This window comes from Homo sapiens, chromosome 22 (assembly GCF_000001405.40).
Source record: "Homo sapiens chromosome 22, GRCh38.p14 Primary Assembly".
Classification (NCBI taxonomy): domain Eukaryota; kingdom Metazoa; phylum Chordata; class Mammalia; order Primates; family Hominidae; genus Homo; species Homo sapiens.
This window is the reverse complement of record NC_000022.11, coordinates 23,062,696-23,087,558: the sequence shown is the minus strand read 5'-3', so window position 1 is coordinate 23,087,558 and position 24,863 is coordinate 23,062,696. Positions and strand designations below refer to the sequence as shown.

The following is a 24,863-nucleotide window of genomic DNA, read 5'->3' as shown; positions in this document are numbered from 1 at the left end:
AATTACTCTTTCTCTATTGCAATTCTCGTCTTGAAGAATCGGCTCTGTCTAGGCAGCGGGCAAGGTGAACCCCTTGGGCGGTTATAAGCTCAATTGAGGCATTTTTATCTTATTTTAACTGTCACCCAGCTGCAGTGCACCATCACAGTTCACTGCAGCCTCAACCCCCCGGGCTCAAGCGATCCTCCCACCTGAGCCTCGAGTAGCTGGGACTGCAGGCACGCGCCACCACGCCCAGCTAATCTTTTTAATTTTGGAGAAATGGGGGTCTCACTATGTTGCTCAGACTGGTCTCGAACTCCTGGGCTCAAGCAATCCTCCTGCCTCAGCCTCCCAAAGTGCTGGGGTTATAGGTGTGAGCCACCATGCTCATTCTATCATCTCTTAAAGAGTGGGTGCTGCCCCCAACTCTGGAGCCGCCGTCCCTACATCAGCTCCCACCATGATACTATTTTAGAAACCGAAGGTCTGGAAAAGCCTGTGCCTGTGGCCATTGCAGATTACCAGGTTTCCTCCTCGCCGAATGAGGAAGCACTTTCCACTGCCCTTTTACGCCCGACTTATCGGAGCCGCATGTGCTTCCAGCTGACAAGCTGCACACTCCCTGTCCTGCCCCAGCCATGTGTCCCATCATGGGTTTCCCAGGGCCTGGCCTGGACCTGTAGGGGCCTCCTCGGTGGCAGCTCTCTGTTGCTGAGGAGCCAGGTGTCCTTTGTGTTGCCCAGTTCTTCTGTCCCACTGCCTTCAATCCTGTCATGCTGGCCCCACCCAGTGGGAAGTGGGCTCCACAGATGCTGCAGCCCCATGACTGCATTTCCCCTCTCTCCAGTGGTCTGGTCATGGTCCAGTGTCCTCACAGGCTCTTCATGGAGCCATTTCCACACATCTTCATGGGAGGTCAGGGGCAACTGTGGGCTGGGCCCCGGGGAGGGTCTTTCTCAGGGAAGCTGGGCATGGTGGGGTCAGGGAGGGGACTCTGGGTCCCAGCTGTGGCTCTGCTGTGCTTTCCTCAACTATAGTGTGCCTGCTCGGGTGGCTGAGGCCACTGGGAGGAGAGGAAGGTGCCCAGGGAACCTAGGTCCAGAGGCCCGTGGCTGGAGACACGCAGGGGACAGCTGCACCTCCGTGCCACCCCGTCTGCTGCCACTGCTGGGCCGAGTGCTTTGCTCACACACGTCATCTCATGCTAAAAGCAGGCCTGGGAGGTGGCCTCGGCTTTACGGCTGTAGAAATCAAAGCGCAAAGATGGAGGTGATTTCCCGGGGTGGCCTGGCTGGGAGTCTGCAGGCCTCTGCTCCCACCAAGCCCTCCAACTGGGCCCCACGGGACTGCAGCCTGCCTAACCTGGCCACACCTGGGTATCACTTGCTGTTTTTACTCAGCATTTTTCTTTAAATTGACTGCCTTTTTTACTTAAAAAATGTACTTCATAATGACTTCATAGTCCTACTTTCAGTGGAAAGCCAGGGTCACCCGCCGTAGACAGAAGTAATCTAAATACAAAACAGTGTAGAGGAACCGCTTCTGCCACTAGCCAGGGGCGGGACCCTGCCGAGGGGCCAGGCAAGGCCACTGGCTGTTGCTTAAACAGCGGGGATTAGCGCCTGCTGGAGGGTGTGAGAGCCACGTTGGCACCAAACTGGGATTTTCTCCTTGAAGGAGAAGGATTGAGAGAGAAACAAAAAGGATTACCTTCCTCTGGGGAAGGGTTAGTGCCACTCATAGCTGTGGCCTTAGGCCACCTCCTAGGGTTCGATGGTGTTGCAGCCCCCTGCTCTGTCCCCACTGCCCGTGCCTCCTGGGGACACAAGTGGGGTACATGGGGAACCAGGGCCAGAGGCCCTCTCTGCTGGGACAAGCTGGGACAACCAGGGCGGAGGCACTGGTACTGGTGTTGAAGGGATGGAGGCTGTTGGGCTGTGGTATAAACACTGCACCCCTTGTCCTCAGGCTGGAGCCCATCTCTTATCTCAGCAAAGTGGGTCACCCTCTCCCTGGCTCAGTTCCATTTGTCTGCTCAGCAGAGCATCCTCCACTGCTTCTCCCGTTGCTCCTAAATCACCCAGCACGTGCGCCCAGGCCTGAGGCCTTCCACCCTCAGATCTGTATGGGCAACTGATCAGTCACTCAACCTGCTATGATCAATACTTTGCTCTCCCAGAATCCAGCCCCACTGTGTGTGGCCCTGCTTGGGGACAGGGGGACATGGTGGGGAACAAGCTGAGTCTGTGTGTCAAGGAGCTTGTATTCTCGCTGGGGAGATGGTGAGCACATAAGGCAGCCAGGCCATTTCAAATAAAGCTCAGCACCATGGAGAAGAGGACACAGAGAAAAATGTAGAATGGCAGCAGTGAGGAATCGCTGAGGACATCAAGGGGTGGGGTGATTCCCAGAGCTGACCCCGCAGATGCAGCAGACGGGCTTAGCCTGGGGAGAAGCTGCCTGGAAACCATGTCCACCTATCTGAGGTGGGGGTTCCAGCCTGAGAGCTGCCTCCAGAAAACTCAGGGGCTCCAGATGAGGCTCCCCACCTAGTGGCAGGTGGCCCCAAGGGACCCAGGACAGGATGGGGGTTGGTATGGCCTCCTGGAGCAGCACTTCTGCATCATAACCTCCAGTGTGCAATGGCACCTGGACGTGCGATGTCACCTGGACATGCGATGGTAGGGTGACCACAAAACCGCAGACAGTGCGTCCTCTGGCAAGTGAGCCAGGGTTGGTGTCCACGCCCACACTCATCTGGGAGAGCAGGGACCTGACTTCCCTGCCTTCCCAGCACGACACTGTCTGTGGCATCCCCACTGAATGGCTCTCTGTCCAGCTCCCCACTGGGCCTTGGGGTAGTGAAGGGCGGGGCTGCAGCTCTCAAGGCTGCATTGCATCATGGGCCACGAAGCGCAGGTGCTCAGGACCAGGTGGGGATGAAGGCAAAAATGAGCAAGGATATGTTCACATCCAGTGCTCAAGGCTTCCCCATGCTGCTTCATCCTGGCCAGTGTGGCTGTCTGCAAGAAGGCCTGATGGTTTAAGGCTTTTGATACAACACCTACAGATGCTCCTTGACTTAGGATGGGGTTATGTCCTGATAAACCCATCCTAAGTTGAAAATGTGTTGACTTCCCCCAACCTGCTGAACCTCACAGCTTAGCCTAGCCTACCTTAAATGTGCTCAGAACACTTACATTAGCCTGCAGGTAGACAAAAGAATCTAACCCGTATCTTGTGGAATTTACTGAATACCGTACTGACAGGGAGAATCAGAATGAATGGTTGTATGAGTACTCAAAGTAAGGCTTCTACTCAATGTTTATTGCTTTTGCACCATAACCTGAAAAACTGCAAGTCAAACCATCCTAAGTTGGGGACTGCTTGTATTTTTGGACTAAAAAGCCACATCTTCCGGGGAAGATAAAAACCCCACTTGCCTTAATGCCAGTGACACTGGACATGGGTAGGGACAAGCTACCCTCCCAGGAACTGCCCTCTGGGGAAAGATCGCCTGCATAGCTCACCCCTCCCTCCTTGTTAACTCCACAAGAAGCAAGGTTCCTGCCTCTCTGGCTGCATCTCCCACCCACCACACTCACAGTGCCCTGTTCCACCCCACCTGGCTGAAAACACAGCCCTGTGAAGCCCAGGGAGAACCTCCTTCTCTGATGAGGACCCCTGACTACTGCAGCATCAGGATCCCTGGAACCCCAGTGGACTCAGTCTGGGCCTGCCACCTGGCCCGCGCGACCTTGAACAGGTGTGGTGTGCCGCTGGTTCGGCAGTGGGACTGGACTTCCCCTGGGGAAGAAATGGAAGGGATGCCCCACAAACTGGTCCTTTTTCAGCCTCAGGGCTGCCGGCTCCTCCTGCAGGCACCTTCCCTGACCACATCTGGCCCATATCCCCTCCTCCCACCTTCGCCTCCAATGGCTTGTGTGTGGTTTCCCCAGGGTACCCACCGCAGGTTGGTCTGGGCTCCTGCTCTACCCTCCCTCCCCCAAGCACCAGCTCTGCTTCCCTCGAAGCAGGTGCTCTGTGAAAGATTCGCAGAACAGATGGATGGATAGATGGAGGAACACCAAAAAATATTTGTACAGAGCTCGGAAGCTTCCCCAGCACTCCCTTTTGAGAGCATTACCTAAAATGACCTTTCCCAGCAGCCTGCAAAGGGGTCACCCTGCAGTCCACAGGCCTCAGGACCTGAGGTCGCTGCTGACCCATGGCCTCCTCCTGGAGCCCGTGATATCCCTGGGACTCTGTGGGCCAGCTCTACTGGATTCCCCTGGGACCCCTCTGCCTGGGTCTACCCTCCCCTACTACCCCCAATACCCCAGGCCTCCCACAGCCCTCTTGCTTCTGCTTTCCACAAATATTTCTCAAATGTGCATCACACCTGCCCCTCTCCGAGCTGCAGGCTAGCCCCTAAGGACCCCTCCTTTGGTATGGTTTCCAGTTCCTTCTGTCTGTGTGGAGAGTCCTCTTCCTGAAACTTCTCCTGCCCACCCTCCTCCTTCACTCTCCCAACTTCCCTGGAGCCTCCTGCCTGGTCTCCCAGTCTCCCACGTGCCCTTTCCCATCCCAGCCAGCTCACGCCCCACCTTAATATGATCTTGACCACTTCACACCTTATTGAATTAAAATGGGAGTTTCTGGGGGCAAGGTTTGGGGGGAAGACACTGTGGACTCTGCACACCCCAGGCTGAGAGCCCAGCTAGCCTCAGCTCTGTGAAACCAGCATCTCCTGGTCCTCAGGCCCATCCCCCATGTCCTCTTATGCTAGAAAACCTCACACTTCCCTGCAGGTTGTCCCTGGACTCTTCCGCTTGGGTGGGCTGGGGCTCCAAGGGCCTTGTGAATCCTAGTCCTGGGGAAAGAGGGGCTTCCAGGCTGGCCTGCCGTGGGAGTTCTGCAGTGTCATCAAGCAGCCTCCTCCTCATACTTGGCCCCTGTGGCCTTGGCTCTGTTGTAGACTCCTGGTTTACAACCTTTCCAAGTATTATGGAATGATCCTTCACATGCAAAACAAAAATAAACAAAAAAACACAACGAGGCCGGGCGCGGTGGCTCATGCCTGTAATCCCAGCACTTTGGGAGGCTGAGGCAGGTGGATCACGAAGTCAGTTCAAGACCAGCCTGGCCAACATGGTGAAACCCTGTCTCTACTAAAGATACAAAAAAAAAAAAAAAAAATAGCCAGGTGTGGTGGTGTGCGCCTGTAATCCCAGCTACTTTCGAGGCTGAGACAGGAGCTTGAACCTGGGAGGCGGAGGTTGCAGTGAGCCGAGATCGCGCCATTACACTCCAGCCTGGTCAACAGGGCGAGACTCAAAACAAATAAACAAACAAACAAAAACAAAAAAACACAACGAAAAAGACCAACCTGCAGATTCCGACATTATTACACATATATTTCTGGGGTGTTTTTTTTTTTTGTTTTTTTTTTGAGGCGGAGTCTTGCTCTGTCGCCCAGGCTGGAGTGCAGCGGCACGATCTCGGCTCACTGCAAGCTCCGCGTCCTGGGTTCATGCCATTCTCCTGCCTCAGCCTCCCAAGTAGCTAGGACTACAGGTGCCCGCCACCACACCCAGCTAATTTTTTGTATTTTTAGTAGAGATGAGGTTTCACTGTGTTAGCCAGGATGGTCTCGATCTCCTGACCTCGTGATCCGCCCGCCTCGGCCCCCCAAAGTGCTGGGATTACAGGCGTGAGCCACTGCGCCTGGCCTTTTTTTTTTTTTTTTTTTTTTGAGATGGAATCTCACTCTGTTGCCCAGGCTGGAATGCAGTGGCACGATCTCGGCTCACTGCAACTTCCATCTGCTGGGTTCAAGTGATTCTCCTGCCTCAGCCTCCCAAGTAGCTGGGATTACAGGTGTCCACCACCATGGCTGGCTAATTTTTGTATTTTTAGTAGAGACAGGGTTTTGCCATGTTGGCCACATTGGTCTCAAACTCCTGACCTCAAATGATCCACCTGCGTCTCCTTCCCAAAGTGCTGGGATTACAGGCATGAACCTGATTGGCCTATAACATATTGGCCTATAACCTGATTGGCCTATAACATATATTTCTAATAACTGTTGATGGCTAAAAGTTGCAATCAAACCTGAGACTGCTGGCTGGCTGATCTACTGAAAAGTGAATTAAAGCAGGAAGACCTAAGAAATGACACACGTGTACTTTATTTTCACTTAACTCAGATAAACATACATTCATATATCTGTCAATTTTCAGAGACACAAACTCTTCCTAAATCAGAGTTTCCGGTTCTGGGGTTATGCCACTTCTTGCTTAAACCACAGCACACCTTGCGTGACATCTCGTTTACTTTTTCCAACACAAGTGAGGTGGCAAAGGACCCGGAATCTGAACTTTAGGCTGTTATACTCCTTGTCCCCAAACTCGTGGTTGGCTTGCCCACACCAAACCTAACCACGGCTTTTACTGAGGCTTTTCCAAAGCAACCACTTTCATTTCCACAGAAGCCCTCTATACAGTCACAGCCCACCAGTTTACACAGTATTCCAGGCTGTGATTACAATGAGTACAACTGGCACAAATAGGTTTGGGACAATCACAACGGACTCAAAGGGATACATGTGGAAGGGCAAGGGGGTTCTAGAGAGTGCCCGCTGCCCTGGAGGGCCAACCCTGTACTGACACAAGCCAGCATGCTTTACAGTGAGAAGGGAGAGCACCCATTAATCCAGTGAGTGCTGATGACAGAGGTAAAAAGGGTTTTTGCGCGCCAAGATTTCCTCAAGGCTTGTAAATGACTCTGCATTTCATTTATCACAATAGCTTTTGCAGTGTTTGAAAAATGAGAGCATACGCACATGAAAGACATCACTGATTCATGGCTTGAGGACATGTGACTCCGTGTTTGTGGGCTCTTTGCAGCCACTCCACAGTAACCAGGGCCCAGGCCACTGGGTTGGCTTCTCTACACTCTCCCCACAACCTGCCTGATGGGCCTTGCACCTGCAGATCCGCAACGGGTCTCACCTTAGAAACAGGTCCTCCTTTCTTTGCCTCCTCAAAGCTCTCTGCCTATCCTGAAGCCATAGTCCGAGCAGATGGGAGGAAGGACTACGGTTAGTGAACACAGTGTCCCCATCCTACAGACAACCCCAGGCTATGCCCCGGCTGGGCCTCCCAGTGTCCTTCTGCTAAAGGAAGGGGAGATGAGATGACCGGGGAGATGAGATGAACAGGGAGGCCCTTCCCTGTAACCCTGTGCTGTCCTGGCTCTGGACACCCTCAGCCACCTGTCCTGTCTTTTGGCCCACAGCCACCACGGCTGACCAGACAAAGGGTGATAGTGTCGCCTGAGGAACACTGACTCAGGAGGAAATCAAGCCAGATATTTCTCTGGGCCAGGAGTAAATAAATAAATCAATATGCAAAGGTTCCACCTATGGAGGAGAGGGTGGCCATGACAGCAGAGAAGAAGTGGGGCCTTCATTAAGAGCCAAATCAAAGAGGTTGCTGCCTTGGAGAGAGCCGTAGCCCCAGGCTCCTGGCTCCCCAGTTTCCCCAGGGAAGGAAACTGCTGACTCCATCAAACCCTCACTTGAGTGGGGAATCTGATTTCACCTTCTGGGTCTTTGAGGCCCTGCAACCTCCTGCCCTCTGCCTCCATGTGTGGCATCCCACAATCCCATCCCCTACCTTGGGGACCTAGGGGCATGAGTGGTGTCCACTACATGCCCAGCACGCCTTCCCTGCGTCCCTTTCCTTGAGAACTGAGGCTGGCACCACAGGTTGTGGCTGGACCCAGCCAGCCTCAGGGGAACCCTTAATTGCCCTGACTGTCCAGAATTCTACCACTCACTCCCGCTAGCCAGCCCCAGCCTCTCATCTGTTTTGCAGCAGTATGACTTCTCTGGTCTTGCTGTCTCCAGCCCCCTGTGCCCTGTGCTCCACCAGCAGCCAGGGGCATCCTTGTAAAAATGAGGCAGAGTATGTCTCACTTGTGCTTGAAACCTTCTCATGTTTGCTCCCGACGCTTGCTTGACATGGGCAGACCCCGAGTCAAAGTCCAGCCAGGGCACCAGGGCTGTGCAATGCCTGGCCTCTCTGACTCCCACGCCCATGCTCCCCCTCCCCCACTCCTGCCATGCTGCCTCTAGCTGCCTCTCTAGCACCATCCCTCACTCTTAACTCAGGGCCTGTGCACTGGCTGTTCCTTCCTCCTGGAAAACTCTTTGTCCAGAAAGCCAAGTGGACTTCGCTTCCGCGCCCTCTCCCCATCCAATGGCTCAGATGTCCCTTCCTTAGGAGGCCTCCCTGCCCATCCTATTTACGATGGAAAATGACCCCCATATTCGCACACAGCCACACCACGTGTGCTGCCTTGCCCCAAGCATGGTCCCTTTCTAGCACACTGTATAATTTACTTAGAGTGTTTATCGCCCACCTCTTTCCCACTGTGCCATAGGGCAGGGACTGTTGGTCTGTTTGTTCATTGATGTATCCCATGTGCCCACATGGACCTAGCACCAAGCAGGTGCCAATAAATCAATCCCAGGCCCTCGTAGTGACTGAGTGAGGAATCGGTCAACGTGGCTCACGGAGGGGATAGTTGGGGACTTCTGGGAGGTCTTCTGGAAAGGCCCGTGGCCTTCCCTGGGTGGACACGGGTAGACGCACAGCCCCCGCCCACCTGGACTTGGCCGATCCTGATGCTGCCCCACGACTAAGCCCTCAGGCCCGGGAGCCAGGATGTCCCCTCATCTTGTAAGCCCTTTGGGGCTGGGCTTCTGTTGCTACCCCTGCAAGTGTGCTCCCACCCCACATACATTGCATGGCCCCTCAGCCCCCTTAGAAGCCCTGGCCCTCACCCTTGGCCTTCTTCCTGTGCCAGTGATGGGGATAATCCCCCAAACCCTGGCCCACCCAGAGCCTGGGGCTGCAGCCCATTCCCTGTGGTCCCTGGGGACCGCAGTGGCCACACCCTCCACACCTCCTCTATCCATTCCACACCATCCTGGGAGGAGGGAGAGCCCCAGAACAGCCAGCGTGGCAAGACAAACACACTGGAGACTGAGGCCAAGCACTCCAGGAGCCACGACAGAGATGGGGGTGTCAGTGTGGCCAGGAGACTCCTTGGAGGAGGTGGGCAGTGTTGGGGGGACAAGGGCAGCCCCACCAGTGCCTCTGTGTCCCAGCCACGGGGTGGGGCAAGGCTGGGCATGGCTGTGCTTGCGTGCGTGGTGTTATCATAGAGGAAATCAATGCCTGGCACTGGCCCAGTGTTTAAGGGAAATGAATAGATTTTGGCCGAGGACAAAGAGAGTTTGATTAATCCGAAATTGGATAATGGAGGCAACACTCTAATTATTTTTCTTCCCAGCATTTCATCGAGAAATATGTTTGCACAGCATATCAGAGGTAACTGAGCGGGTGAGGGGGTGACCATGCTGGAGGAAAGCCCAGCTCGGAGACAGGCCACCCGCACCCGCCCTCACCAGCAGGGGTCCTGGTAGCCACTCTACAGGGCCACAGGAAGCAAGAGGGCTGGGTGGGGCTGGCCTGAGGCCACATGCAGCTGGGGCAGCTAAGGCCAGAGGGACATGCCATGCAGAGCTGGGCAGGAGGAGGCATGAGGGCCAAGCCCTCATGGTGGAGTTGCTCCTCCCCTGGCCTGGCCACAGTTAGGGGTAGGGCCACTAGTGTGGGGGTGCAAGAGGAGTAGGGGTGAGGTACCACCAGTTCACAGGGGGTCAGGGCCTGCTGGGGTCAGGGTGAAGGCTGTAGGTGCCAAGTTCTCCCACCCATAGTCAGAAGGGTCTTCAGAAGGCCCCTCTTGGCAGCTTGGAAGGTTTTCCCAGCTTTGCCTCTGGGGAAGCCTGATTAGCTGCTCCATAGCCAAGGTCAGACAGGACCACCGGGCCCCACAAACACAGAGCCTGGTACTTTACATGCCTCAGCCCTCCTTAGTCACCTTGCCCCCTCCTCCCTTGCTGACCCCACTCCTGCAACACCTGGAGCTGAAACCACACGGTTTAGCACCTTGTTTCCGTGGCCATCCAGCCTCCCAATTCCAAGAAGGCTTCTAGGGGCTCCTTGCTGGAACAGAGATCAACATCAGGTGTACATCCAAGAGGAGGCTCCCGGCCTTGTAGAGTGGTTGAGTCTCTACCACTCATTCACTTATTCATTCTTCAGTGTACAGAAAGAGGCTGCCATGAACGAAGCATGGGGTTGGACCCTGAGGTCACTACAGGGAGTGAGGCATCAAATGAGAGAAGAGACAGTCAGCAAGCAATGACCTGAGCTGCTCATGGGACTCAGGAAGACGGAGGCCAGTCCTTCCCAATAAGGGGTTAGCATCAGTGTCACTAAGGAAGGGGCATGTAAGGAGAGATAGGGTGGGTTAAAGCTGCTAGATAGGAGGGGGTACAGTGGTGAGGTTCACCAGTCACTGGCAAGCTCATCTAAATCCTGCCTCCCGTGCCCGCTGCAGACATCACTAATCGACCATGACTCTTTCCCTCTGGGCTGCAGCACAGCCTTAGAATCCTCTTCAGCACAGCATGCTTTGGACGGTCACTCCAGAGTTGAGATAAGGAAGGAAACTATCTGTACACTTGACCCAGCCCAGAGCTTCCAACTCAAAGGCAAGGAAGGCCCAGAGAGTGGAAAGCATTCGCAGGGTCACCATCACAGGCAGAGCTGGACTTCTACCCAGGCCTGGTGCCTTCCCCTGCCCTGAGCTCCTCTACTGGCCTGAGAGGCCACTCCTTGATCTTGGGGCACAGGGGCCACCTGGAAAGGCCACTCTACCATCATCATGTTCCTTTACTACCTTCAGGGTCTTGGCTCATCCCCTTAGGACAGTTTTCCATAGACATGCCTCTGAAGGTCATCACTCTGTGAATCCCCGTGTCTGACAAAGGCCCCACTGAGTCACATTGCATCACTGAGTGGCCCGGCGTCAGCCCGAGGCATCTGTCCACCTGCCTCTGGCTTGAGAGTAACCCACAGTTGGGCCTGACGGGGCCCAGCTGGTAGCATCCACCTGAGGGTGGTTTGTGTTTGGTGGCCAAACCTGAGGCCCAGAGACACATCTCTGGGGACCCAAAGGTACAACCTCTTAGGAGCAGAGGGTTGAGCTGGAGCAGGGGTTCTGCAGCGCACGAGCACACAGCTCAGCCCTAGGGCAAAAGGGGCTGGACAGGGCCACTGAGGCATGACTGTCTGCGAATATTCAGTCCCTCCACAGCGACTCCCTGGGTGGCGATTCTCAATGGTGACTCCGCAACGTCCCTGCCCTCATGGAGCTTACACAAACACATACGATGAATGAATCAAATAGGGAGCAGGTCACGCTGTGGCGAGTGCTAAGGGGAAAAAAATAGCAGCAGGAAAGGGCATAGGAAACATGGTCAGGAACATGGCGCTGTTCTACATAGAGGCCCCACCAGCCCTGTCTGGAGCAGGGCCACAGCCTAAGAGCCAGCCCTCACTGCCATGCCAGCCTCCAGCACAGCCTCCTCCTCAGCCACCCTTCCTATGACCAACCAGGGTGAGAGGGACCATGCTGCCCAGATGCGGGGCTGCCCAGACCTACTAAGGCACTGGGCACATGAGGTCCACTCTCCACACCTCAGAGGACCTTGGCCTCCATGACTCACAGGGGCAGACCTCACAAAGGAGCAGACCTCACAGGGGCAGACCTCACAAAGGACCTTGGCCTCCGTGACTCACAGGGGCAGACCTCACAAAGGGACCTCTGTCCTGGCAGCTCTCCATCCCAGGGGCCAAGGGTCTCCTGAAAGGTTTGCTCTAACCACAACCACGGTCCCCCATGGCCATGAGAGGCCTGGCTGAGCCCTCGGGGACGGGGTGTGTTTCTGGTTGGAGGCTGCTAGAAGGAACACCCCCGGGCTTGACACTATGTGTAAGGCCCCTCCCTGCACTGTGGCTTTTAACAGTCTCGCTTCTTAGCACTTTTTGATGGATTCTCCAGGGACGTCTCTAAAAGAGAGTTATACCTTAATTTAGAAGCAAATAACTCAAAACTCTGTGATGTGGCAGCTTCCTTTGGAAAAGAGATGAACGCAAAGAAGCCATTGCTGTGTGAAGCTGTGGCCATGTAGGTCCAGGGCCTGCTGATGGGACCATCTAAACCTCAACCTCAAGATGTGCCTCCTGCTGCCTCTTGCCCAAGGGTCCACAGACCAAGGGGCAAGAAGCAAGACATTTAGTGAAGAATTGCAGCAGGCAATTGCCTGCTGCAGTTTTCACTTTGGGTTCCCTGGGCCATGGTGCCAAGGTGAAGCTCACAGGCTGGGTGTGACTGACTCCAGCGGCCCTGAAAGTCCAACGCAACCCACCCGCCCACTCAGGGAAGGGAGGAGAAATGCTGTGGGGACTGGGCAGCAGGCAGGTTGCGGGCCCACCCTCCAGGCCTTCCTTCTCCACAGGGGCCACTACATCCCCAATATTATCCTTGAGGTCCCTGTGACCAGCCAGCTTCCTGGGCACTCACTTGGGCATCCATACAGTTTTAATGCTCTGCTGTTGCTGTTCTGGAATGCATAATTTTAGTTTTACTTTTGTAGAGACAGGCTCTTACATGTTGCTCAGGCTGGTCTCAAACTCCTGACTTCAAGTGATCCTCCTACCTCAGTCTCCCATAGTATAGGATTACAGGTGTGCGCCATCATGTCAGGCCCTTAATAATTTTCAAATGGGGGCCCCCAAAATCATGTGGCCAGCTGTGCCTGCATTGCTCAGTCCCTGGGCATGCCCTGCCTGCTTGACACAGGGGACCTGCTCTCTGGGACCCGCTCTTCTCCAGCCTCCCGAGGCGCCACTGTGACTGTGCTTCCACCTCACTTGCCCGTCAATCCTCAATCTCTCTTTCTCGATGCTTCTCAACTCATCCTCCCCACAGTGGAGGCCCAGGAGCCCAGCTCAGCCTCTTCTGATCCTACCTACCCTTGATCCCTAAGTGACCTCACGTGGTCCCCGGCCTGCCACACACCTCAGTGCCAGGGGCTCCAGGTTGCCACCTCCAGCCTTGCTCTCCCTCTGGCCACATGTGCCCATCAATGGCTCTCCAGGTCTCAGACCCACCTCCTAATTCCCCACCTCTCCAGAATGGGTTTTTCTGTATCTTGCTTCTCAGCCAATACCAGCTCCATCTTTCTACTGGTTCAGACCAAAACTGCAGCTGTCCTTTAAAAGCTGCAGCTTTAAAAAAACAAATCTCCCACCTGCATTTCTCAGGGCCTCCAGAGCTCCCACCCCTGGGTCAGCAGCCTCTCTGCCTGGGATGTTGCAGTAGCCCCTCATGGCCCCCAGCCTTACCCCACCCTAGCCTATTTTCCCACCTCAGCAGAGAGATCTTTTCAAAGTGTAGATTAGCTCCTCCTGGGAGGGCAGCTCCAGTCTCTTCTCTGCTCCAACCCTGCCAAGGTCTTCCTGCCTCATTGGGGCCCACTGAGTCCTGCAGGACCTGGCCCTGACACCCCACCCACACTCCTGCACCAGGTTCCAGCCACTCTGGTGGGGCCTCCAGGGGCCAGGGAGTGTCTGCTCAGCGCCTTTGCACCTGCTGTCTCTCCCCTGCTCAGCCACACCACTCACCCAGCACTTCTGCATGGCACTGTGTCAGTCCCCCACCCCCATCTCGTGTCCCCCACCTTCTGCTTTAGTGTTCTCCACAGTGCAGCACTTAGTAACATGTGTTACTGTCAACCCCTGCCCGTCTGGTGTGAGCACTGTGAGTGGATGCTACGTCCCTGCTGTACCCCTGCACCTGGCACAGTGCCTGGCATGCAGCAGGCGCTGGTAAATGTTAGCTGAACAAATGAATGGATGAATCGCGTGAGGTTCTGCTCCTCCGGCTCAGTCCAGAGGGCTGATGTCTCCTCCTATGTGCTCTAGGATCTGTCAAGCGGTCCCTGTTGGTTCAATCCTGTGAAGCGCCTCCCCTGGCGGTGTTCGCACGAAAGGGCCAAAATGTGTGGCAGGGGCTGGTGTGGGGACAGGGCAGGGCACTCTTGGCTTTGGGTATGGATGAGGATAATGAGGTTCAGAGAAAAAGGGGCTGGACCTAGGATGGTGGGACCAGGACCTGACTCCAGGTCTTCTGCCACCTAGACTGGAATGCTCACCTCACCACCCCGGAGCCACAACAGTCTGGGTGCTCCCACGTCCCTCTTCATTCTGCCCAGGCCGCAGCATAGCCTCTGCTCTGGGATTCTGCCTGGGGCTGACCCTTGGCATCTGCACTGACGCCTCTGTTCATTTCGCTTTGTGCTCCTTCCAGCCAAGCACAGTGCTCACAGGTGCTCAGAGGCTTGGCTACCCCAGGTTTCCTTGCTGGAGGGTTCGGGAGAGCAGCATGCTGACCTGCCTCCTCCAGTGTGCCCGTGCACCTGCCATGGTCAGCAGCAGTGAGAGTGCCTTTGCCACCACACACCGTCTTAAGTATTCTGAGGCTAGCGTGGGACAGACAGCACAGGGCTGCCTTCCTTGCCTCCAGGGGAGGAAGCCGCACACATGTGTTCACACACAAGATGACTAAATTCAGCATTCCTGAATTGCTATATTCAGCATTCCTGTCCCACTGGCCTCTCTGCGGGGGCCCTGGGCAGCCCTTGTGAAGTCAATCCAGTTACCTGCAAATTCCTGGAATTGTTCTAGAAGCTCCTGAGGGCCAGACTGAGACCCCACCCATACTCCTGCACCAGGTTCTGGCCACTCTGGTGGGGCCTCCAGGTCTCTGAGGTTCCTCCTGAGATTCTAGAAAACAAAAGGACTGAGAGGCTGGGGACAGAGGGAAGAATCCATTCCCTGTGTCCCAAACCCACAGTCACATGCCAGGTCCCTGCAACAGTCCAGGCGACAGGCACAGAGCACAGCAGCTCACCCTGCTCAGCACAGACTGCACACCCCACGAGGGCAGGCCCTGTTCTCGCTGCATCAACCTGGGCCTTGGCCAAAGCCAAGTGTGTGTTGGGTGGGGAGGGTAGGCACACTACAAAGATGAGTAACAAACAGCCCCTTCAGAGGGAGAGCAAAAACATCCCCAGAAATGAGGGAGCTGACTTAGGGGGGAAAGTGACACCAATTTCCGAGGGGGAGAAATTATGTCTTATTCACCTCCTGTCTCAGAAAATCAACGTCAGTTAGAGGAACACACAGGAAGACTTTTAAACCAGATGCCAGCATCTCCTCATTCCTAGAGAATGAGGCTTGCTCAAGGCGCATATTTTATCCAAGCACCGCCAGGCCATCCACACCCCCACTGCACCCCGTAGATGGATGCTCCCAGGCTGCCACGATTACTGCTCTCAAACATCCACATCCCAGAGGCACAGAGTCACTAGCTAAGCATCATCCCCGAAACAGGCAACTCAATCCTAACAAGGGGGTTGCCTGGGTGGTTACCCAGTGCCCTGGCTGTGCCCGAGGGAGAAGTGCCTGGAAGCACAGTCTCAGACTGCAAGGAGCCTTCCCCAGTCTTTAAAGCTAGCTCTTCTCCAGGCCCACCCCAGCTCATGGGGTCATGGAACTGCTTCGCTTTTACAGATGAGGAAGCCGTGGTCTCCACCATAGCCACAGTTAACCAGCAGTGGGGTCATTCCACTTCCCAGCTCCCTCAGCCCCGTGCAGCCCCCACCGGCCTTTCCCGCCATACCTCCTCCTACTCCCCAGGCATGCTAAGTGCTCCCATCAGACCTAACTGCCCAAGTGCCTCGGTCTATTCTCTCCTCTCTGCCCACAATGCCCAGCTTAGCTGTGCCCATGTCCTTCAAGCTCCAGTTCAAATGTCATGTTGCCCACGAGCTCACCTGACCCCCCAGCCCAGGACACCACTCTGAGGTCCCTCCCGAGGCCCCTGCACCTGCACTCAAGCGGGGTTGGTCGAGTAGAGACGTTTTCCCCTATGCGGTGGTCAATCAGTCCTGGGAGGGCAGGCCCAGTCCACTCCCACCCGGTGCACCCCAGCGTCAAGCTCTGGGGGAGTGACCACTCAATAAATATTTGCTTAATTGAATTTGGCCAAGGAGCCTTCTCCAGAGAGCTCAATCCCCAGGGCAGGGAAATCACTTGGGCAGAAAGGAGCCGGTCAGGGGCTCAGCTGTCTCCCCAAGCAAGACAGACCTCTCTACCAGGCGGGTCCCTCCACCCCAACACGGACTACGCGGAACGCTGGTCTCGCTTGGCATCATCCTCTTGTCTCAGTTAACAGGAGCCCCCATTCTCGGCCTAGGCCGAATCCTGCCATCATCACCCAGGAAGGCTCAGCACCGCCCTAAAGGCAGAGCCCCCTCGGATCGCCCGCAGGATACGGAGCGCCAGCCCTGAGGCCCTCACTCCCCTCCCCCAAACACCCCCACCGCCTTTTAAGGGAAAAAATATTGAGCCGGGAACGTATTACAATCGCAGCAGGTCGATACTCATCTCTTCCTCTAAATGCCTGTGAGGAACCTGCTCGCTGCAAGAGCAGTGACCGAGAACTGCTAGCTGTCCGTCTGCGGGCCCAGGTCCTCGGGCCCAGGCCTCTGGGGCCCTCTCCTCGGTTTCAGGCAAGGCCCTGCATCGGCTCCGGCCGCCCCTCCCTGATCCTCCCCCTAGGGAGACCCGCCTCAGCGCCGCTCCCGCAGCTCGCCTGGCCCGCCCGGGCTCCGCATCAGCCGCTGCTTGGGGGCGCCCGGCGGCCCCGCGCGGCATCCCCGGCGCCCTCTGTCCACCCTCCCGGGTCCTCAACCGCCCCCTCCCGCGGGGTCATCGGCTTGGCGGCGCATCCCTCCCCCAGCACCTGCCCGACCAGAGGCCGCCCCCTGCCCACCTCGCAGGCGTCCCCGCCCTTGGTGTCCCCCACCCCTGAGGGGCATCCCTGACGCTGCGTCCTGGCGGATCCGGGGCACAAAGGCCTGGGAAGAGTCCCAAGTGGGGGCAAGGTGGATGCCCCGGCCGTGCCCCCGACCCCTGAGGCTCAGCGGCGCGCGGCCGGCCGCGGGTCGGCTCACTCACCTCCGGGCCGCAGCACAGAGCATCTGCCGAGCTGCTCCGGGCAGGGCGGGGCGGGGCGGGGCGGCGAGCACGGGGCCGCGGCGCCCTCGTTCCGTACGACGCGGGCAGCGGCGCCCACGCGGGGACGTGACCGGACCGCGGGCGGCGCACACGCTCCGGCCGGCCTGGTTCCCTCCGCCCGCCCTCCCGCGCCGCCCGCCGCCCGCCGCCCGCCGCCAGTCCGCGGGTCCGCCCGCCCCGCGCCGCGCCGCCGCCGGCAGGGGGCGGAGCCGCGAGCGCAGCCCGTTGCCAGGCCAACCGCGGGCGGGGGGGTGCCGCGCGCCCGCCGGGCACCACGCGCCGGGCACCTCCGCCCCGCCACGAGCGCCGGCCCTCTGTCCATTGGGCACAGGCAGCTGACGGACGGGCCAGTAGCCCAATGGGGACGGACAGGGGCGGGGTCGCAGCTCCGCGCGCGCCGCAGTCCCGCAAGAGCTCCCCGCGCCGGCGTTCCACCGACTCCGCTGCGCTGAGGCCTGGTAGCCGAGCCCCAGGGGCCACCTCTGGCAGCCCGGGAAACCAAGCCTGAGCCCAGCCATGGTCCTGGCCCTCTTTACTGCAGCCAGTCCCGGCTCGCCTTCTCTCCACTCGGGTTCAAACCCAGTTCGGCCTCTTGTGAGCTCTACGTCCTTGGGCAACCGACTGACCTCTCTCAGCCTTTCTGTTTGCAAAGTGGGGCTAGTGGCACCTGCTTTCCTGGATTGTCTCACCAATCCTTCAGAACGTGTGAAAGGCCTATGCAAACCCTAACGATTTACACCGGTGAGGTTTGTGCAGCGATGGGAGGGAGCATTAGTCATCTCTGCCGCCGCCCCCCGCCGCCACCGCCCAGTGTCTAGGGGCTCTTTGGCGTCCCTGGCAATCCTGGCACACGGAAGGGTGGCCTTGGGAGGGAAGGAAGGGAGAAGGACCGAGGAGCTGGCCCCCAGCCCAGACAAGCGTGAGAGAGCCAGTTCAGTTAAGGCCACTGATTGGCGCTTTTGGGAAGCTGGTGGAAAGCATCAGACCCTCAGCAAAACGCAGCTGAACCCAGGCTGCAAAATTCTGTTTTCAATTTCAAAGCCTATCTGTGGACCTCAGGGCCAGGAGTCCCTCAGTTCCATGCTTAAAAGACTCTCAAGCCAGAGGGCCAAGACATGAATGCTCCTGTCTCTCTTCTCCATCTTTGTAAATCTGAAGCTTTGTGTATCCTAGAGCATCCCTGACAAAGTGCAAATGCCTTCCCAGCTAACGCGTTCCTTATCACCTCACACCTTTGTAAGGTGTGGATCATGCCATTCTTTGAGCAGCAGCCCTGGACCTGACCATGGCAGAGGTCCATGGAGCGGTCTCTCCATCATAGCTCTGTGGTGGAGGGGCAGGGGCATGTGCCTGGCTTTGCCAGCTGGACACTGTGGCATCTCAGCATCATCCCATAACCTCCCTAGGAATGTTTCCTCTTCTGTGAGATGGAGACCATTGCGTTACGTACCTGCAGGGTCATGGGCCACCTGTGAGGGTGCTGCCTCAACTGTCAGGAACAGGACGTATATTTGTTATGGGCATCATGGAGGCGAACTTAGTGCTCACTGGAGGTGTCCAGTGAGGACCAAGGGAATTCAGCCAATGGCTGAGGGGCTAGCTACCCTTTGTGCTTGCCTTCCACACCACCAGGCTGTGTCAGGCTGGACCTCTTGCCAGGAGGACCACACAGAGACCGGCAGCTGTGCTACCTGGCTGAGCCTCTGTTTCCTCTTCTGTCAAAAGGGAATGTAACAGACTGTGGTCAGAGGGTGGCTCTGAGGGTTAATGTTTATAGGAAATGCATATTAGCATGTCTTGGGATAGCCAGAGGCTGTTTCCACTGCAGAGTCTGGGGGTCAGAGTTGAATTGTTTGCAGAGGTAAGCCCACATGCAACAGTGAGATGGCCCTTTCCAGTGGTCCAGAGCAGAGGCTAGCCTGCGGAGGGGTCCACTGGGGCTGGCTGACACCTCCCTGACTTGACCTCAAAGTAAGAGAGGGACATCTCACCTGGCATCAAACCAATATTGTATTCATGCAGCAGTCACTTACAGATAGCCTCCTCCACCAGGGTATAGTTGTAGGCACAGTTCTAGGATTCAGACCGGCCCTTTTCTGGCAGACCCTCTGCCTGTAGGGCAGGGGCAGAAAGCAAACAACGATTGGGCCTTACAGTCATGTGAGGCTATCTGAGGAGACCCACTGGGGCTCTGGGGGCATGTGGAGTGGGGGAGCATTGGGCATTGGGCCAGCTTCCCAAAGGAAGAGATGCTTGGAATGAGGCCATAGCAGGCGTGGAGGTGGCCAGTGACATAGGGTGGGAGGGAAGTGAGTTCCAAGGCGGGGACGGTGCAGGACATGAAGGAGCACGAGGCCAGGAAGAACCCAGAGAAGACCAGTGTGGCTGGGGCCAGGGTCGTTGCCCATGCACAGATGCCAGCTTGGGGCAGTAGGATCAGGGACGTTGGCCTAAGAACTGCTCGAGAGTTTTAACATTAGTCTTTTAAATTTGAGAAGGAGGAGGAGAAGTTTTTAATTGCCTGTTTACAGTAGGCGTGGTCCCACAGACAATGTGAGTTGTCCTACTGGACATAATAAAATAACAAAAACATCAGTTAGTCAGTCCAGAGGAAGTGGGAGTGAGCACAGAAGTCAGTCTGTGAGGCTGAGTTCAGTGTACGGTCTGCTGTGGCTGTGAGATGGCAGGGAGACCAAGAGCATGTTAGGAGACAGTGGCGGGGCATTATCAGGACCCAGGGAGATGAGAGAAGGGGAGAGGGTGGGGACCACTGGAGGAAGAGATGGTGCTTACCAAAAAGATGGAGGAGCAGTTGGGGAGGTGGTCAGGAACCAGAGAATGGAGGGTACCAGAGGCACGGGAAGAGAGCATGTGGTAAAGGAAGAAGCTGTTAACCATGCTCCCAGCTACCTGGAAGCCGAGAAAGCTGAGGACAGAGAAGCACCCCTTGGAGCAAAGGCAGGCCCAGTGGGCCAGGAGTTCAGGGCACAGGGCCATGCAAGGCTAAAGCTGGACAGGTGGGTCACCTGCGGCAAGGTGGGCCCCAGATGCCATGTGTGGATGTGCAGTCCCCTAACAGGAAAGGGTGTGGCTGCGACCAGAACCTGGGTGCTGGTGCTCTGTCCTGAGCCCTCATTGGCTGGGAGACAACAGCTGGGGCTTTGCTGTAGCCAGAGGAAGGGGGCCATGGTGGTGACTGAGCCCACTCAGCACCTCCCCAACCCAGCAGGCACAGCTGGCTGAGGAGTGGCCCCTCAACATGGTGTCAGCACCCGCCCTGCCCCACCACAAAGAAAATGACCCAGACTCCACCACTGGGGCTCCACACCATGGACATCCGTGACCCCTCAATCCCATTGGATCTCTTTGGCTCATCAACCACTGAACCCATCCTAGCCCCTACATATCAGCCAGGCCAGATCGGGGACTCCCCACAAACACATACATTTGAGCCCTGCTGTTCTGGGCTCTCCTCCACATCCATGAGAACCAGCTTCCCCGGGGCCTCCCTTTGTGCACCTCCAGAGCCCCTAGGACCCTGGAATTCCTGGTCTACACACATGTCAACCTGTTCTGTAGTGACCTGTCCCCAGCTGACTATTCCACTAGTTTTCCCACTTCCCGGGGGTGGGGTGGGCATATGTTGCTTGTCTCTAAACCATGGATGGCCCAGAGCCTGGCCTGCTCTGGTGCCACCCCATCTGGCTGATTCTCTGTGCCCCACCTGTCCTACCTCTTCTGCAACCACCCCCCACCCCCAGCGGACGCTCAGGCTGCCGCCCAGTTGGGTGGATTTCCCCGATTGTTTCCCTGGGGTCTGTGTGCCCCACCCCCACTTGAGCAAGCCATCGCAGATCTGGGTTAGTTATAAATAGCCAGGCCCGAGACTCTTCTTTTAGCTGAAAAGAAGCAAAGTGAACGAGCAGAAAGGCACACCCGGCACGCGTTTTATTTTTAATCTTCTCCCTCTGTCTCAAAATGAACCCCGGTCCCTGTGCTAAGCATTTCTAGGAGCAGAAGTACAAGACAAATGCCTGAGAAACAAAACCCAAGGGGCTGAGGGTCCCGCCTGGCTTTGCCACCATCTGCTGTGTGACCTTAGGTATTCAAGTTGCCTCTCTGGGCCTCAGTTTCCTCACCAAGGAGAGGTGGGTAATGGAGGTGATCACCTTGAATGTTGACTTTTCTGACCTCAACTCCTTCTATATTCCTCCCCTAACTTGTGCCCATCCTGACTCAGCAATGACACCTGTCCCAGGGATTTCCTGGGAAGCTCAGATAGGTGAGACGAGGCTACAATCTAGCCCTGATTTGAAAATTAACAACTTCCTTACCCCCAGGTCTTTGCTCAAGTGTCCCCATCCCAGAACTTTGTCCTTCCATCTGCCAGCAAAATTAACAGAAGGTCAAATTGTCGCCTCCCTGCTGTGAGCTGGAAGAGGGCCGTCCAGGTCACCACTGAGTTGAATCTATAGCCAGGAGTGGGTAGGGAGACCGTGGGCAGAACCTGAGGGGAAGCAGAGCGGGAGCAGGAGGCCAGGTGTGTGGTATGGGCAAAGCAGGGAGCTGCGAGAGAGAGAGGATCAGGCCTCGGGAGGGGTGGTAGGGTTGGGGGGTTTCTGCACTGATGGGATCTGCAGGGCTTGGGCTGTGCAGCGTTTGTCTTGTATCCTACTCCTCAGCCTCCAGCAGGCCCTTGCTTGTAGCTGGGACTCAGTGTTGGTGGAATTCAGGAGACTCTTGCCACCCTAGGCCCAGATGTTCTGGGCACACAGGGACAGACCCTTACATGGATGAAGAAATCCACAGCACGTGGAACACGTTTTCATCCACAACCCCCTGCCAGGTAGGCCCGTTTCAGTGATAAGGAAACTAGACTCAGAGAGGTTAAGTAACTTGTCCAAGGTCACACAGATTGGAAAGGATATGTTTTAAATGAGACCTAGGCTTTTTTTTTTTTTTTTTTTTTTTTTTTTGCAATCTGTGCATATTAAATAAAAAAGGCCAACACAGTAGAAGCAACAGGAACCCACTTTTCCTGGGTGGTCAGAGCCCTGAGAACAAACAGGGCAGATCTAGCTGCTCCATCTGATACCACAGTGAGAAGCTGGCCAGGGGCACTGGAAGCCACCTGACACCAGAGGACCTGGGGGATGGGGCATGGAGAGCTGCTGGACATTATGAGACATGGTGGGGGGCGGTAAGAGCCACTCAGCACCCTGCTCCGCCTTTCTACCCCATCACCCTGGGCACCTGCTGTTTGATGTCCTCAGGGAGTGGGGGAAGAAGGTTGGGGTGATGTCTTCAAAGAGGAAATCCCTGGTACTAATTGGCACTTGGAGACCTTTAGGCTAATCAACCTGTTTATTTCTCTCTCTAGAGTAAATTAGAGGGTTTAGCTGGGGAGGGCGGAAGAAAGAGGTGTCTTCTGGTGGCCACCTCCCTGGGGGCTGTAGATGGCTTTGCAGTAGGCAGTGGGCTGCAGGGCAGTGGCGAGGGCAGCTGCGTGCCGTAGGGAAGGGCACTGTGCACATTCCCTGTGCTTCTCATCTCAGTGACTCAGGAGGGCTGTTCTGCCCACCGTCCTGGGCTCAGGATGCCACTCGTGCTGGGTTCTCTAGGCAATCACATGCTGACATTCCTCAGGAGGGAAGGGAGCTGGGAGGAGCCAGGTGGGGCCTGTTTATGGGGGAGCCTTGCCTCATTGTGCTTCTCCCAGTACCTGCACCCCAGCTGTGCCATGTGGAGCCCCCTTCCCACAGAGCCCCAGGTCCCTTGAAGACGAGAGCCTATGGCTTCCCGTCACCTTTAGTTGGGGCACAGCTCTTTTTGGTGAGTGTGACACTGGCCTACACTCTAGGTCTTCTGTCTCAGAGTCAAAACCAAGCTCTTCTCCAGGGCTGGTCAGACCAGTGTGGGGTCTCCAGCAGCTTTGAAATATTTTGGTGGATGGGAAGCGGGGGCTTGGCTGGCTCCCCAACTCTGGGGCAGGGGGAGGGAAGAGTGGAGGTCTCCTGGTGTGCCTGGGCCCTGCAGGAGTGAGCTGTCAGCTCTCCGAGGGGTGGCTTATTGCCTCTCCAGCTGCTGTGCGCTTGCTATGGTAGATGCCCCCTGAGACACAGGCGACAAAAGACTGGTCCTTCCTGGGTTCTCTGAGCCTCCGCCCTTAGCCCCTGACATGGCTGTCACTGCAGCTGCCTGCTGGTCGCTCAGGCCCCTGGCCAGGCGGGACGTGTGTGTGGGGGTGGCACTTGCAAGTCCTTTTGTCAAACCCACCCACTGGTTCTGCAAGACCCTCCTTGAGCCCTGCAGGCCAACTGGCATGGGTGGGTGGGTGTGTGGCCAGCCCGCCCTCAGTGCCCTTTCCTGCCTTGTAGGGGCCCAAGAGATCATCAGCAAAGGTCTGATTTCCTCACTGGTATGGAAGCTGCAGGTGGAGGTGGAGGAGGAGGAGTTCCAGGAGTTCATCCTGGACACACTGGTCCTCTGCCTGCAGGAGGATGCCACCGAGGCCCTGGGCAGCAATGTGGTGCTTGTCCTGAAGCAGAAGCTCCTCAGCGCCAACCAGAACATCCGCAGCAAGGCCGCCCGTGCGCTCCTTAATGTCAGGTGAGGCCTGGCCTAGGCTGGGTTTCTACCAAGGCTGGGAGAAGGCACCTGAGCTGGACTGGTCCAGAGCTCAAGGGCGGCCACCCTGGGCCTGCTTCCCCTTGCCTGCTTGTGCCCAGGGGTAGGAGGGAGCTGGGACAGAGGATGACCTTCTCCCCTAGGGTGACCACCATCCCGTTGGCCTGGGAGTGTACTGTATCCCAGGAAACCCCTCAGCCTGGACAAAGCCAGATGATTGTGCACCCCCTCCCCATGAGGAAGGCCAGCACAGGAGATGCACTGGTGATGATCATGACACCCAGCGGTCACTGAGTGCCTCCTGTGTGCCAGGCGTTGTCTACAAACCTCACATTTAGGCGACCCTCCAGGGAGGTGATGTCTGCCTTCACAGGTGAGAAAAGGAGGCAGTGTCTTGTGTCTCACACCAGGTCACACAGGATCACAGTCTACATCCTGGCCTGGAAACTGAGGGAGCCCAAAGCCTCAAAGCTGCAGGGGGCAGGGTGCGGTGTGTGTTCTCACACTGGGCCCCTTTTCACGAGGACAGGCTGGTCACCGAACCCCAGAGTCTCTGCCTTAGCTGTGGCTATGTCTCTTTAGTGGAGACCCTCTTGCCTTCCCTAAGTCCTGGCTTCTCTTCTGAGAGTCTCACTAGAGGCTCAGGCCAGTATTTCTGCAAGTGGGGCCCCGGACCCAAGCCACCGGGAGGTTTGTGAAAATGCAGATTCCTGGGCCCTGTCCCAGCCCCATCATTCTTAGGTCTGCTCAGAGGTCCCCTTTCTGTGGGACCATGAGAGTGGCTTTCCAGGAGAGAGCTCTCTCTCTCTGAAACTGTAACCTCCCTGCTGTCCCCTGTCCTCCCATGTCCACTGTGACCACCATCCCTGCCGTTACTTTGTGTGTCATCCCCGAGGGGAGCTCCTGAGGACAGGGCTTTCCTCTGTTTGCTGCCCTAAACCCAGGGTTTGCAGCGGGGGAGCTTTGGCTCCCAGTTGAGAATTATCTGGCCCTAAAGAACACTGAGCTGGAGAAACCCTGCTCTTGTCCCCACTCTTGTGAACAAATCGGGGAATCCCTGCATCGCTCTTGTCTCAGTGTCTTGCTGTGTGAACGAATCAGGGAATCCCTGCATGTGGGGCCCAGGACTCTGCAACTTTGATCATGGGCTTCGGGGTTGAGGCCCACTGCCCTGAAAGGCTCCCAGTG

The 24,863-nt window shown here is 56.6% G+C and overlaps 2 protein-coding genes across 12 annotated transcripts in view, besides 8 other annotated features; one reads left to right on the top strand and one right to left on the bottom strand.

Annotated features, from left to right (window-relative positions):
• Positions 1-17,040, bottom strand: part of GNAZ (G protein subunit alpha z) — a 54,514-nt gene extending 37,474 nt beyond the window's left edge. For all 3 annotated transcript variants that reach the window (NM_002073.4, XM_047441346.1, XM_017028786.3), the window contains exon 1: positions 16,989-17,040. The gene's annotated coding sequence lies outside the window, so the exon portion shown is untranslated. The remainder of the gene's footprint in view (positions 1-16,988) is intronic.
• Positions 1-24,863, top strand: part of RSPH14 (radial spoke head 14 homolog) — a 121,315-nt gene that overhangs the window by 93,171 nt on the left and 3,281 nt on the right. For 7 of the 9 annotated variants that reach the window (XM_017028774.2, NM_014433.3, XM_011530150.2 and 4 more), the window contains one exon: positions 23,426-23,657. In XM_017028774.2, the coding sequence (XP_016884263.1) occupies positions 23,426-23,657 (232 nt within the window). Of the gene's footprint in view, positions 1-17,478; positions 17,790-23,425; positions 23,658-24,863 lie in introns of those variants that run through there. The other 2 variants (XM_047441334.1, XM_011530155.3) reach the window with 1 other exon arrangement.
• Positions 1,062-2,057: an enhancer, noted in NCBI's record as "H3K27ac-H3K4me1 hESC enhancer chr22:23427689-23428684 (GRCh37/hg19 assembly coordinates)". NCBI's record gives its function as "activates a minimal SCP1, AML or CMV promoter by ChIP-STARR-seq in primed H9 embryonic stem cells {active_cell/tissue: H9 hESC(primed)}" and the evidence as "EXISTENCE:reporter gene assay evidence [ECO:0000049][PMID:30033119]".
• Positions 8,337-9,272: an enhancer, noted in NCBI's record as "H3K27ac-H3K4me1 hESC enhancer chr22:23420473-23421408 (GRCh37/hg19 assembly coordinates)". NCBI's record gives its function as "activates a minimal SCP1, AML or CMV promoter by ChIP-STARR-seq in naive H9 embryonic stem cells {active_cell/tissue: H9 hESC(naive)}" and the evidence as "EXISTENCE:reporter gene assay evidence [ECO:0000049][PMID:30033119]".
• Positions 9,273-10,209: an enhancer, noted in NCBI's record as "H3K27ac-H3K4me1 hESC enhancer chr22:23419536-23420472 (GRCh37/hg19 assembly coordinates)". NCBI's record gives its function as "activates a minimal SCP1, AML or CMV promoter by ChIP-STARR-seq in naive and primed H9 embryonic stem cells {active_cell/tissue: H9 hESC(naive and primed)}" and the evidence as "EXISTENCE:reporter gene assay evidence [ECO:0000049][PMID:30033119]".
• Positions 14,577-15,458: an enhancer, noted in NCBI's record as "H3K4me1 hESC enhancer chr22:23414287-23415168 (GRCh37/hg19 assembly coordinates)". NCBI's record gives its function as "activates a minimal SCP1, AML or CMV promoter by ChIP-STARR-seq in primed H9 embryonic stem cells {active_cell/tissue: H9 hESC(primed)}" and the evidence as "EXISTENCE:reporter gene assay evidence [ECO:0000049][PMID:30033119]".
• Positions 15,459-16,339: an enhancer, noted in NCBI's record as "H3K27ac-H3K4me1 hESC enhancer chr22:23413406-23414286 (GRCh37/hg19 assembly coordinates)". NCBI's record gives its function as "activates a minimal SCP1, AML or CMV promoter by ChIP-STARR-seq in naive and primed H9 embryonic stem cells {active_cell/tissue: H9 hESC(naive and primed)}" and the evidence as "EXISTENCE:reporter gene assay evidence [ECO:0000049][PMID:30033119]".
• Positions 16,946-17,085: a silencer, noted in NCBI's record as "silent region_13531". NCBI's record gives its function as "represses an Ori minimal core promoter by ATAC-STARR-seq in GM12878 lymphoblastoid cells {active_cell/tissue: GM12878}" and the evidence as "EXISTENCE:reporter gene assay evidence [ECO:0000049][PMID:35858748]".
• Positions 17,226-17,365: a silencer, noted in NCBI's record as "silent region_13530". NCBI's record gives its function as "represses an Ori minimal core promoter by ATAC-STARR-seq in GM12878 lymphoblastoid cells {active_cell/tissue: GM12878}" and the evidence as "EXISTENCE:reporter gene assay evidence [ECO:0000049][PMID:35858748]".
• Positions 21,193-21,400: a silencer, noted in NCBI's record as "fragment chr22:23408338-23408545 (GRCh37/hg19 assembly coordinates)". NCBI's record gives its function as "represses an EF-1alpha promoter that drives an FKBP-Casp9 reporter gene in an ReSE screen in K562 erythroleukemia cells {active_cell/tissue: K562}" and the evidence as "EXISTENCE:reporter gene assay evidence [ECO:0000049][PMID:32094911]".